The sequence below is a fragment of the Homo sapiens genome, chromosome X (genome assembly GCF_000001405.40).
Source record: "Homo sapiens chromosome X, GRCh38.p14 Primary Assembly".
Classification (NCBI taxonomy): domain Eukaryota; kingdom Metazoa; phylum Chordata; class Mammalia; order Primates; family Hominidae; genus Homo; species Homo sapiens.
Genome location: NC_000023.11, coordinates 1,618,497 through 1,632,042, shown reverse-complemented (window position 1 = coordinate 1,632,042; position 13,546 = coordinate 1,618,497). Strand labels below are relative to the sequence as shown.

Genomic DNA, 13,546 nt, shown 5'->3' with positions numbered 1-13,546 from the left:
GGAGTCTCACTCTGTCACCAGGCTGGAGTGCAGTGGCGCGATCTCAGCTCACTGCAACCTTCACTTCCCGGGTACAAGCGATTCTCCTGCCTCAGCCTCCTGAGTACCTGGGATGACAGGCACCTACTGTCATGCCTGGCTAAGTTTTTGTATTTTTAGTAGAGACCGGGTTTCACCCCGTTGGTCAGGCTGGTCTCAAACTCCTGACCTTGGGATCCGCCCGCCTCAGCCTCCCAAAGTGCTGGGATTACAGGCATGAGCCACCGCACCCAGCCTTTTTTTGTATTTTTAGTAGAGACGGGATTTCACCATGTTGACCAGGCTGATCTCGAACTCCTGACCTCAGGAGATCCACCCGCCTCGGCCTCCCAAAGTGCTGGGATTACAGGAGTGAGCCACCGCGCCCGGTCTGCTTGTTCATTATTTTCTTCCCAAGCTGCTCCCCAGGCAGGGGGATCCTGAACTCTATCTATCCCTGCTCACAGTGACTAAAAGTAATAAACTTGGAGAAGCTCCTCACTCTGCAAAGGGCCTTCTACCAGCCAGGAGCTGTTCTGAGTGATCCACTGAGTCACAGGAGGGAGATAGGGTGGGTGGATCACGGCCTGGAGTGTGACAGCCCTATGGGGTAGAGGAGGTGCTTAAGGGGTGAGCTCGGGGTTGGGGATTTGTATTCAAAAAGCAAGCTCAGCCTGGGTGCAGTGGCTCATGCCTGTAATCCCATCACTCACTCTGGGAGGCCGAGGCAGGAGGACTGCATGAAACTGGAGTCTGAGACCAGCCAGGGCAACATAGGGAGACTCGTTCTCTACAAAAAAGTTTGAAAATGAGCTCGGCGCAGTGGCTCATGCCTGCAATCCTGGCACTTTGGGAGGCGGAGGCGGGTGGATCACGAGGTCAGGAGATCGAGACCATCCTGGCTAACACGGAGAAACCCCGTCTCTACTAAAAAAAAAAACAAAAAATTAGCTGGGCGTGGTGGCGGGCGCCTGTAGTCCCAGCTACTCAGGAGGCTGAGGCAGGAGAATGGCGTGAACCCGGGAGGCAGAGCTTGCAGTGAGTGGAGATTGCACCACTGCATTCCAGCCTGGGTGACAGAGCAAGACTCCATCTCAAAAAAAAAAATAAATAAATAAATACAAGTAAATAAATAAATAAATAAATAAATAAAACAAGCTCAGCTCAGCCTGGGTGTGGTGGCGGGCGCCTGTAATCCCAGCACTTTTGGAGGCTGAGGCAGCAGGATTGCATGAGCCCAGGAGTCTGAGACCAGCCAGGGCAACGTAGAGAGACTCAGGCTCTACAGAAAAGTTTTTAAATGAGCTAGGTGTGGCGGCAGTCATCTGTAATCCCAGCTACTTGGGAGGCTGAGGTGGGAGGACCACTTGAGCCTGAGAGTCTGAGGCTGCAGTGAGCTATCAACACACCATTGCACTCGAGCCTGGGTGACAAACAGGACCCTCTCTCAAAAACTAAAAACAAGACCGAGGCGGGTGGATCATGAGGTCAGGAGTTCGAGACCAGCCTGGCCAACATGGCAAAACCCCGTCTCTATTAAAAAATACAAAAATTAGCCTGACAGAGTGGTGCGCACCCATAATCCCACCTACTCGGGAGGCTGGGGCAGGAGAATCGCTTGAACCCAGGAGGCGGAGGTTGCGGTGAGCCGAGATCGTGCCACTGCACTCCAGCCTGGGCGACAGAGCGACACTTCATCTCAAAAAAAAAAAAAAAAAAAAAAATTAGCCTGGTGTGGTGGCAGGTGCCTGTAATCCCAGCTACTCGGGAGGCTGAGGCAGGAGAATCGCTTGAACCCAGGAGGCAAAGGTTGCAGTGAGCCGAGATCATGCCACTGCACTGCAGCCTGGGCGATGGAGCAAGCTTCCATCTTAAAAAAAGAAAAGAAAAAGAAACGTGTGCTCGCAGAGGAGATGTTTGCTGACTCTAGGAAGTGCCCAGTGCTGGGAGGAATGATTCCTCTAAGACCAGTAAGGCCGCACATGTCAAAGCATCAGAATGCAGAAAATAAAAGACATGAATAACACATTCCCCATACAGAACAGAAGCCACACCTCCGAGGTATTAGTGGTGAGGGGTACTTACCACCAAGGTCACACATAAGTGGGAACACTGACAGGTCAAAGGCGGTCAGCACGCTTCTCCCGTTGACGCTCCAGACCTCCTGCAGAGCTTGCATGAACTGTAGCCGCTCGCCCTCGGACCTGGCATGCAAAACCACGCTTGTCAAGATGGTGAGGATCTGGGGACGTGCCCAGAGCAAGGGTGTACATAACCCCCTGTTGAGAACGGAGCTATACCCCACAGGTGCACCTGGAAGGCTTGCATTTGTGAAATGGAACAGGAAGTCATTCGGGATGGGGGAACCATAGGTCAGCCAGCAAAGTGTACCCAGCTCCGGGAAACCTGGAGTTGATTCAGAACGGACGATTGTTCTCTGGATGGGAAGGGATTTCTATCTGAAGAGGAGTTTAGATGTTTTCTAAGAGGAAAGTCAATAATACGTTCCCCCATCCACAGAGCTCAGCCCCAGAGGACAAATCCAGGAAGCGGGTGGGAGGTCCACACATCCTGGGGAAGAGGCTAGAGAAAAGGCAGGAACTAGGAAGGGAGGCAGGTGAGATGGAGCCAAGAAGGATAGGTGGACACAGAGGCGGACAGGGCTCTGGTGTTGGAAGCATTTCCTGCTCCTCCCCCCCCACAGCTCCCTCTCTCCTCCTGTCCTCTCTGCAGAGCCTGCTGTAGGGGTTTGCCTCAGAGTAGCGAGGGCTGAAAAATTGCCTCTTAGGTACCACGGTCACTATTCAGGTGATGGGCACACTAAAAGCCTAGGCTGCAAGGTGCAACATGTAAGCATGGAAGACATGGGTACTTGTGCCCCCTAAACAGATACATATATTCACATACACATACACATGTATACACACATATATATATATATAAAGAAAGGAAAGAAGGAAGAAGGAAGAAAGAAAAAGAAAGAAAGGAGGGAGGGAGGGAAGGAAGGAAGGCAGGCAGAAGGAAAGAGGAAGGAACGAAGGAAGGAAGGAGAAAGAAGGAAAGAAAGAAGGAAAGAAAGAAAGAGAGAGAGAAAGAAAGAGAGAAACGGGGGAAAGGAAAGCAGACCGAGGAGAAGAGAGGAGGAGAAAAGGAGGTGAAATACGGGGCATGAAAACAGAGAAGATGAGAGAAAGAAGACGGGAGAGGAGAAGGAGAGAGGCAGGTGAAGGGAGGGGAAGGGAGGCGAGAGGAAAGGAGAGAGGGAAGAAGAGAGAGGAGACAAGAGAGGGAAGATGGGAGAGAGGAGGGGGAAGATGGAGAGGAAAAGAGAGGAGAGAAGAGAAGAGAAGGAAAAGGAGAGAAAGAGAGGAGGATGGAAGAGGAAAAGAGAGGGAACAGGACAGAAGGAGAAGAGAGGGGAGGGGAGAGCAGGGGAGGAGAGGAGAGGTTGGGGGGCAGGCGAACCACTCAGGCATCCCCTTGTCCTTCATACCCTTCCCTACTCCATGCCTCAGCCAGCTGGAACACTGGACGGGCCCATCAATTCACCTCCATCTGGGAATTCTAGGTAAGAGCTTCGGGCAAAGGCCAAAGCTGTGTCCACATCGCAAAGCAAAGTGAAGAGCTGAGGTCTCACCTGGCCTCACCTTCACCTCTGACCAAATCAAAAACTGGGCCTCTATATTCTTTTCTTTTCTTTTTTGAGATGGAGTTTCACTCTTGTTGCCCAGGCTGGAGTGCAGTGGTGCGATCTCAGATCACCGCAACCTCCGCCTCCCGGGTTCAAGCAGTTCTCCTGCCTCAGCCTCCCGACTAGCTGGGATTACAGGCGTCCGCCACCACGCCCGGCTAATTTTTGTATTTTTAGTAGAGACGGGGTTTCACCCTGTTGGCCAGGCTGGTCTCGAACTCCTGACCTCAGGTGATCCACCTGCCTCGGCCTCCCAAAGTTCTGGGATGACAGGCGTGAGCCACCGCGCCCGGCGCGTGCCTCCATTTTCTACATAAACACTGAGTTTGTGAGTAGTCCTTTCGAAGGAAGGGTCACGTTGCACCTCCTCAGGAATTTGATCAATTTAAACATCAGATGAGCAAAATCTGGGGTAGTAGTGGGGATAGGGGATGTTATTTTAAATTAAATGGCAGCTTCCTCCTGGGTTGTGCCATTTGAGTAAATGGATTGGGTTTCCTAAGTCCTTTAAAAATAAACAGAATCTTATCTGAGTTGTTGGTTTCAAAGTGATGGGTGTTACCTGTAGATGGCCGTAAAAAGCTCTTCAGCGGGAACGCCAAACGTCTCCAGGTACTGGTTCCTTCCTTCTCTAAGAAAAGAGAGAGAAGGCTGATTTTCATTTCATTTCATTTCATTTCATTTCATTTCATTTCATTTCGTTTCATTTCGTTTCATTTCATTTCAGCTCTGTAGCCCAGGCTGGAGTGCAATGGCACGATCTCGGCTCACTGCAACCTCTGCCTTCTGGGTTCACGCCATTCTCCTGCCTCAGCCTCCCGAGTAGCTGGGACTATAGGCGCCCGCCACCACGCCCAGCTAATTTTTGTATTTTTAGTGGAGACAGGTTTCACCATGTTGGTCAGGCTGGTCTCAAACTCGTGACCTCAGGTGATCCACCCGCCTCGGCCTCCCAAAGTGGTGGGGTTACAGGTGTGAGCCACCACACCTGGCCTTATTTTATTTTAGGAGATGGAGTCTCGCTGTGTCGCCCAGGCTGGAGTGCAATGGCACGATCTTGGCTCACTGTAATCTCCGCCTCCCGGGTTCAAGCGATTTTCCTACCTCAGCCTCCCGAGTAGCTGGGATTACAGGCACCTGCCACCGTGCCTGGCTAATTTTTGTACTTTTTAGTACAGATGGGGTTTCATCATGTTGGTCAGGCTGGTCTCGAACTCCTGACCTCAGGTGATCTGCCCGCCTTGGCCTCCCAAAGTGCTGGGATTACAGGCGTGAGCCACCGCACCTGGCCTTATTTTATTTTATGAGACGGAGTCTCGCTGTGTCGCCCAGGCTGGAGTGCAATGGCGCGATCTTGGCTCACTGCAATCTCCACCTCCTCGGTTCAAGCGATTCTCCTGCCTCAACCTCCCGAGTAGCTGGGATGACAGGCACCCGCCACCATGCCTGGCTCATTTTTGTATTTTTTAGTAGAGATGGGGTTTCACTATGTTGGTCAGGCTGGTCTCGAACTCGTGACCTCAGGTGATCCACCCGCCTCGGCCTCTCAAAGTGCTGGGATTACAGGCGTGAGCCACCGCGCCTGGCCAGCTGTTGCTTAATTGTTTAAACCTGAGGACTTAATTGTTACACGTGACCTTTTTCTTCCTTGCCCAAATTCTTATCTAAGGGGCCTAGGGAGTTATGCTCTATAACTATAAAGTCTCGTGAGATGGGTTTTATTTAACCCTATATTACGTGGCTCACTTTCCAACCTGACTCTGGCATAACAACCCATCACAGATAAAGAAGAAAATCAAAGGCTGGGCGTGGTGGCTCACACCTATAATCCTAACACTCTGGGAGGCCAAGACGGGGGCAGATAGCCTGAGCTCAGGAGTTGGAGACCAGCCTCAAAGACAGGGTGAAACCCCGTCTCTACTAAAACACAAACAATCAGCCAGGTGTGGTGGATGCCTATACTCCCAGCTACTGGGGAGGCTGAGGCAGGTGAATCACTTAAACCCAGGAGGCGGAGGTTGCAGTGAGTCGAGATCATACCACTGCACTCCAGCCTGGGCAACAAAACAAAACTCTGTCTCAAAAAAAAAAAAAAAAAAGGAAATAAAAATATTTTAGCCCCAAACATGTTCTCTTTACCATAGCTTGAAATACTCCTGTAAAGCTACCTGTTGTGGAGAAAATCTACGTTCTGGAGAGAATCACCTTCCTTTTCCTTCCTTTTTTCTGATCCAGGAGAGAACCAAGTCAGATAGGAAACAGTAACAGTCTATTCTTTCTGAAGCCTGCTACCTGGAGATTTCATCTACATAATAAGAATTTGGTCTCCACAACCCCCTATGTTAACCCAGACACCCCTATTTTTTTTTTTTTTTTTTTGAGATGGAGTCTCGCTCTGTCGCCCAGGCTGGAGTGCAGTGGTGCGATCTTGGCTCACTGCAACCTCCGCCTCCCGGGTTCACACCATTTTCCTGCCTCAGCCTCTCCGAGTAGCTGGGACTACAGGCGCCCGCCACCACGCCCGGCTAATTTTTTGTATTTTTAATAGAGACGGGGTTTCACCGTGTTAGCCAGGATGGTCTCGATCTCCTGACCTCGTGATCCGCCCGCCTCAGCCTCCCAAAGTGCTGGGATTACCGGCATGGGCTACTGCGTCCGGCCACCCAGACACTCCTTTCTATTGAGTCCAGGTCTTCTCTCTCTCTCTCTCTTTCTTTCCTTCCTTCTCTTTCTTTCTCTTACTTTCCATTATTTCCCTTCTTTCCCTCCCTCCCTCCCTCCCTCCCTCCCTTCCTTCCTTCCTTCTCCCCTCTCTCTCTCTTTCTGTTTCCTTCTTTCTGAGACAGAGTTTTTGCTCTGTTGCCCAGGCTGCAGTGCAGTGGCACAATCAGCTCATTGCAGCCTCTGCCTTCTGGGTTCAAGCAGTTCTCCCACCTTAGCCTCCTGAGTAGCTGGGACTACAGGTGCCTGCCACCATGTAGGCAGGCAGATCACGAGGTCAGGAGATGGAGACCATCCTGGCTAACATGGTGAAACCCCGTCTCTACCAAAAACACAAAAAATTAGTCGGGTGTGGTGGCGGGTTCCTGTAGTCCCAGCTACTTGGGAGGCTGAGGCAGGAGAATGGCGTGAACCCGGGAGGCATAGCTTGCAATGAGCCGAGATGGCGCCACTGCGCTCCACCCTGGGTGACAGAGCAAGACTCCATCTCAAAAAAAAAAAAAAGAAAGAAAAGAAAAGAAAAAACAAAGAAAAAGAAACCTTCCCTTTCACCTCCTCCACTGCCACTTCACCAGCCCCTGGCGGTAGTCCTGAGACTTGGTCACTGCCTGGATGCAGCCCCCACCTCCCAGCATCTGCCTGGGGTCAGCCCCCACCTCCCAGCATCTGCCTGGGTGCAGCGCCCACCTCCCAGCATCTGCCTGGGGTCAGCCCCCACCTCCCAGCATCTGCCTGGGTGCAGCCCCCACCTCCCAGCATCTGCCTGGGTGCAGCCCCCACCTCCCAGCATCTGCCTGGGTGCAGCCCCCACCTCCCAGCATCTGCCTGGGGTCAGCCCCCACCTCCCAGCATCTGCCTGTGGTCAGCCACCACCTCCCAGCATCTGCCTGGGGTCAGCCCCCACCTCCCAGCATCTGCCTGTGGTCAGCCACCACCTCCCAGCATCTGCCTGGGGGCAGCCCCCACCTCCCAGCATCTGCCTGGGTGCAGCCACCACCTCCCAGCATCTGCCTGGGGGCAGCCCCCACCTCCCAGCATCTGCCTGGGTGCAGCCCCCACCTCCCAGCATCTGCCTGGGGTCAGCCCCCACCTCCCAGCATCTGCCTGGGGTCAGCCACCACCTCCCAGCATCTGCCTGGGGGCAGCCCCCACCTCCCAGCATCTGCCTGGGTGCAGCCACCACCTCCCAGCATCTGCCTGGGGGCAGCCCCCACCTCACGGCGTCTGCCAGGTGGCCCCAGCACCGGTAGCTGGTCCTGCCCATGTACTTCAGCATGCTGCATTGTGACGTCGGGCTGACCGTGGTCAGGTAGTCGCTGGACAGCTCTGTGTTTCGATAGAAAGCTGAAACACACACAAAAAAACAGGGAAAAAGCAGTGAGATTCCGAGTTCCTGCCGGCGGACGCTCCCCAGCTCGACAACATCGTGATTTCAACATGATTACAAGCCCATCTCTTCTTTAGAGATGGGGTCTTCCTCTTGCCTTGTACAGCTGGAGCCTTCTGTGGAAGGCGCAAAGGTGACCTGGGGCGGCTAGCACCCCCGTCGGGTTCGGTTTGTACAAATCCCCATCGGGAGTTTGGGTGCAGCAAGTACAAAGGCAGATGAGCCACGAGAGGAAACGTACGTTACATTCCACAGAATGTCTAAAATAACTTATTGAGGCCGGGCGTGGTGGCTCACACCTGTAATCTCAGCGCTTAGGGAGGCCGAGGCGGGTGGATCACCTGAGGTCAGGAGCTCGAGACCGGCCTGGCCAACGTGACGAAATCCTGTCTCTACTAAAAATAAGTGGCCCAGGCTGGTGGATCACCTGAGGTCAGGAGCTCGAGACCAGCCTGGCCAACGTGATGAAATCCTGTCTCTATTAAAAATACGTGGCCCAGGCTGGTCTCGAACTCCTGGGCTCAAGGAATCCCCCAGCCTGGGTCTCACACTCTGGCAGCTTTGACGTCCCCAGGGCAGAGGTCGGTAGCTGCCACAAAAACCACACGACCCCCAAACCTGCAAATACAGATGGAGTCTCGCTCTGTCGCCCAGACTGGAGTGCAGTGGCACGATCTCGGCTCACTGCAACCTCTGCCTCCCGGGTTCATGCCATTCTCCTGCCTCAGCCTCCTGAGTAGCTGGGATGACAGGTGCACGCCACCACACCCGGCTAATTTTTTGTATTTTTTTTAGTAGAGACGGGGTTTCACTGTGTGAGCCAGGATGGAGACTGTTTCACTTTTTACAGAACACGTGGGCTGCAGAGGGTGTCTATGTAAAATGCCTCCTTCAAAACGCCCGTGTCCTCACCTTTTCCTCCCCTCGTCTCCACTTTCAGCAGCTTCAGGGACACACAGATGTCCAGCAGGAGCTCTGTCCCATGGGCGCTGGCCCTCACACCTGCAGCCACTGCCGCCACGTCCAGGGGCCCTGGGGCCTCGGCGAGAAGGTCAAACACGCCCAGCTCGCAGGCGGCGAAGAGAACCTTGGAGCAGGAGCGGAAATAAAAGGTCAGGGCTCAGCCTCCTGGGAACCACAGTCTTAGAAACACCCCATACCATGGCAGGCTAGGGAGGAAAGCATTGTTTTATTTATATTCTTATTCATTTATTTATTTTTTTTTTTGAGACAGAGTCAAATGAGATTGCACCACTATGGAAAACAGTCATATTTATTTATTTATTTTTATTAATTAATTAATTTATTTATTTTGAGTTGAAGTCTCACTGTATCACCCAGGCTGGAGGGCAGTGGTGCGGTCTCGGCTCACTGCAACCTCTGCCTCCCGGCTTCACACCATTCTCCTGCCTCAGCCTCCCGAGTAGCTGGGATTACAGGCCTGTTCCACCATGCCTGTCTAATTTTTGTGTTTTTAGTAAAGATGGGGTTTCACCATGTTGGCCAGGCTGGTCTCGAACTTCTGACCTCGTGATCTGCCAGCCTCGGCCTCCCAAAGTGCTGGGATGACAGGCGTGAGCCATTGCGCCTGGCCCCACCCTGTTTTCCATAGCCGTGCAACCTCATTTAAAAATGTCTCCTGGCTGGGTGCTTTAACTCATACCTATAATCCCTGCGCTTTGGGAGGTGGGTGGATCACCTGAGGTCAGGAGTTTGAGACCAGCCTGGCCAACATGGTGAAACCCCATCTCTACTAAAAATACAAAAATTAGCCGGGCGTGGTGGCTCATGCCTGTAATCCCAACTACTTGGGAGGCTGAGGCAGGAGAATCGCTTGAACCTGCTAAGCGGAGGTTGCAGTGAGCCGAGATCTCACCACTGCACTCCAAGCCTGGGTGACAGAGTAAGACTCTGTCTCAAAAACAGAGACAGAGGACCGGGCGTGGTGGCTCACGCCTGTAATCCCAGCACTTTGGGAGGCCTAGGAGGGTAGATCACTTGAGGTCAGGGGTTCGAGACCAGCCTGGCCAACATGGTGAAACTCCGTCTCTACTAAAAATACAAAAATTAGCCAGGCATGGTGGTGCGCACCTGTATCCCAGCTACTCGGGAGGCTGAGGCAGGAGAATGGCGTAAACCCGGGAGGCAGAGGTTGCAGTGAGCCAAGATCGCATCACTGCACTCCAGCCTGGGCTGGACAGAGTGAGACTCCGTCTCAAAAAAAATAAATAGGCCGGGTGCGGTGGCTCACGCCTGTCATCCCAGCACTTTGGGAGGCCGAGGCAGGTGGAGCAACTGAGGTTGTGAGTTCGTGACCAGCCTGACCAACGTGCAGAAACCCCATCTCTACTAAAAATACAAAATTAGCCTGGTGTGGTGGTGCATGCCTGTAATCCCAGCTACTCGGGAGGCTGAGGCAGGAGAATCACTTGCACCCGGGAGGCAGAGGTTGTGGTGAGCCGAGATCGTGCCATTGCACTCCAGCCTGGGCAACAAGAGCGAAACTCCGTCTCAATAGATAAATAAATAAATACATATAAAAATAAAATAAAGCAGTAATCAGGTAATGCCTTCAAATAATACACAAACTATAAAAAATGAATAAATCAGCCAGGCGTGGTAGCTCACGCCTGTAATCCCAACATTCTGGGAGGCCGAGGTGGGCGGATCACCTGAGGTCAGGAGTTCAGGGCTAACCTGGCCAACATGGTGAAACCCCATCTCTACTAAAAGTATAAAAATTAGCTGGGCATGGTGGTGTGAGCCTGTAGTCCCAGCTACTGGGGAGGGTGAGGCAGGAGAATTGCTTGAATCCTGGAGGTGGAGATTGCAGTGAGCCAAGATCGCGCCACTGCACTCCAGCCTGGGCAACAGAGCGAGACTCCATCTCAAAAAAAAAATAAAACAAGAATAAATCATCCATGCATTTCTTTTCTTGCACACATCGTTTTGGATGGGTGCCAAGGCTCAGGCAACCTTAGTGACAGGAAGTCATAAACAAACCACAGGGAAAGATGGTTTCTTCAGGCCACGTGTCTTCCAGGATACTTACAGTTAGCTTTATTTCAACAGCATGGGGAAAGAAACACAGATTACACCTACCACTATCTTTTTGTTTGTTCTTTTTTTTGAGACGGAGTCTCGCTCTGTCACCCAGGCTGGAGTGCAGCGGTGCAATCTCGGCTCACGGCAACCTACGCCTCCCGCGTTCAAGTGATTCTCTTGCCCCAGCCTCCCGAGTAGCTGTGATTACAGGCACGTGCCACCACACCCGGCTAAATTTTTGTATTTTTTTTTTGGTATCTTTATTTGTTTATTATTATTATCATTATTTTTTTGAGACAGAGTCTCGCTCTGTCGCCAGGCTGGAGTGCAGTGGCACGATCACGCCTCACGGCAACCTCCACCTCCCAGGTTCAAGCCATTCTCCTGCCTCAGCCTCCCGACTAGCTGGGACTACAGGTGCCCGCCACCATGCCAGGCTAATTTTTTTGTATTTTTAGTAGAGGCGGGGTTTCACCATGGTCTCGATCTCCTGACCTCGTGATCTGCCTGCCTCGGTCTCCCAAAGTGTATTAGTTGTTTTTCTTATGAAGGTTGTAGTAAGATATATTCTATTCAAGTGGTATTAGCTTTTTTATTAAACTGTTATCAATTCCTGTTTGGTTAAGGTTGCATTGACTGTTTGTTTCAGTAAGTCTGCATAAAGTTTATTATTCTAAGCTTGTATTAGCTCCTTTTCTATTAAAGCTATATTAGGCCAGGTGCAGTGGCTCACACCTGTCATCCCAGCACTTTGGGAGGCCAAGGCAGGCAGATCACTTGAGGTCAAGAGTTCGACACCAGCCTGGCCAACATAGTGAAACCCCGTCTCTACTAAAAATACAAAAAGTAGGCATGGTGGTGCACGCCTGTAATCCCACCTATTCGGGAGGCTGAGGCAGGAGAATCGCCTGAACCCGGGAGGCGGAGGTTGCAGTGAGCTGAGATCATGCCACTGCCCTCCAGCCTGGGCAACAGAGTGAGACTAGGTCTCAAAAAAAAAAAAAAAAAAAAAAAGCTATATTAATTCTTGTTCTTTAATGTTGTATTAACCTTTTTCTTTTTTATTTATTTATTTATTTATTTATTTTGAGACGGAGTCTGGCTCTGTCACCCAGGCTGGAGTGCAGTGGTGCGATCTCGGCTCACAGCAAGCTCCGCCTCCCGGGTTCAAGGGATTCTCCTGCCTCAGTCTCCCGAGTAGCTGAAACTACAGGCGCCCACCACCACGCCCGGCTAATTTTTAAAATATTTTTAGTAGAGACGGGGTTTCACCGTGTTAGCCAGGATGGTCTCAATCTCCTGACCTCCTGATCCACCTTCCTCGGCCTCCCAAAGTGCTCAGATTACAGGCATGAGCCACCACGCCCGGCCCGTATTAACCTTTTTAAATTAGCGTTCTGTTTTGTTTTATTCATTAAAGTTGTATTCATTCCTTTTGGGGTTGTCTCAATTAATTGTTCTTTTAAGGGCATATATTAAATGTTACCTTCTTATGGCTGAGTTCACCCTTGGTCTATGAAAGGTGCATTAACTGTTTCTGTTAAGGGTACGCTAACTTTGATCTTTTTTTTTTTCTGCTCCCAAAGACTTTTTATTATTATTATTATTATTATTATTATTATTATTATTATACTTTAAGTTCTGGGGTACATGTGCAGAACGTGCAGGTTTGTTGCACAGGTATACATGTGCCATGGTGGTTTGCTGCACCTGTCAACCCGTCACCTACATTAGGTATTTGTCCTAGTGCTCTCCCTCCCCAGCCCCCACTTTTTTTTTTTTTTTTTGAGACAGGGTCCCGCTCTGCCCCCAAGGCTGGAGTGCAGTGGCGTGATCTCGGCTCACTGCAACCTCCACCTCCCGGGTTCACGCCATTCTCGTGCCTCAGCCTCCCAAGTAGCTGGTACTACAGGTGCCCGCCACCACGCCCAGGTAATTTTTGTATTTTTAGTAGAGATGGGATTTCACCATATTGGCCAGGCTGGTCTCGAACTCCTGACCTTGTGATCCGCCCGCCTCGGCCTCCCAAAGTGCTGGGATTACAGGCGTGAGCCACTGTGCCTGGCCAAGGGTATACTAAATGTTATCTTCTTAAGGCGATATTCACTCTTGGTCTATGAAAGCTGCATTAGCTAATTGTTTCTGTTAAGGGTGTACTAAGTTTGATCCTCTTAAGGTGGTATTAACTCTGCATTAACTCTGGTTCTGTGAAACTTCTGACAACTCCCATGACATGGTATCATGTGCCTTAAAGTGACTGCTCTTCCAAGATTTAGAACCCACCAGACCACCTCCCTGAACACCGCTGTGAACCAGCGACAGTCTTTGAATGAGCAGTCAATAGCCCCAGCAGGAGGCCTGCGGTCAAAGGAGGCAAAGGTAGCAAGTTACTGTTGTCTGGGACAGTAACAGAAATCCCACCTTTACTAAAAAATAGAAAAATTAGCCAGACATGTTGGCTCATGCCTATAATCCTAGCACTTTGGGAGGCTGAGGCAGGCAGATCACCCGAGGTCAGGAGTTCGAGACCAGCCTGGACAACATGATGAAACCCCGTCTCTACCAAAAATACAAAAAATTAGCTGGATGTCAGTGGCTCACGCCCGTCATCCTAGCACTTTGGGAGGCTGAGGCAGGCAGATTGCCCAAGGTCAGGAGTTCAAGACCAGCCTGGCCAACATGAT

At 51.3% G+C, this 13,546-nt stretch overlaps 1 protein-coding gene across 3 annotated transcripts in view, besides 1 other annotated feature; it reads right to left on the bottom strand.

The window, feature by feature from the left end:
• Positions 1–13,546, bottom strand: part of ASMT (acetylserotonin O-methyltransferase) — a 28,023-nt gene that overhangs the window by 11,039 nt on the left and 3,438 nt on the right. For all 3 annotated transcript variants that reach the window (NM_001171038.2, NM_001416525.1, NM_001171039.1), the window contains exons 2-5: positions 8,730–8,904; positions 7,645–7,774; positions 4,272–4,340; positions 2,104–2,222 (exon numbers count right to left, since the gene is read on the bottom strand). In NM_001171038.2, the coding sequence (NP_001164509.1) occupies positions 2,104–2,222; positions 4,272–4,340; positions 7,645–7,774; positions 8,730–8,904 (493 nt within the window). The remainder of the gene's footprint in view (positions 1–2,103; positions 2,223–4,271; positions 4,341–7,644; positions 7,775–8,729; positions 8,905–13,546) is intronic.
• Positions 12,896–13,533: an enhancer, noted in NCBI's record as "OCT4-NANOG-H3K4me1 hESC enhancer chrX:1737403-1738040 (GRCh37/hg19 assembly coordinates)". NCBI's record gives its function as "activates a minimal SCP1, AML or CMV promoter by ChIP-STARR-seq in naive H9 embryonic stem cells {active_cell/tissue: H9 hESC(naive)}" and the evidence as "EXISTENCE:reporter gene assay evidence [ECO:0000049][PMID:30033119]".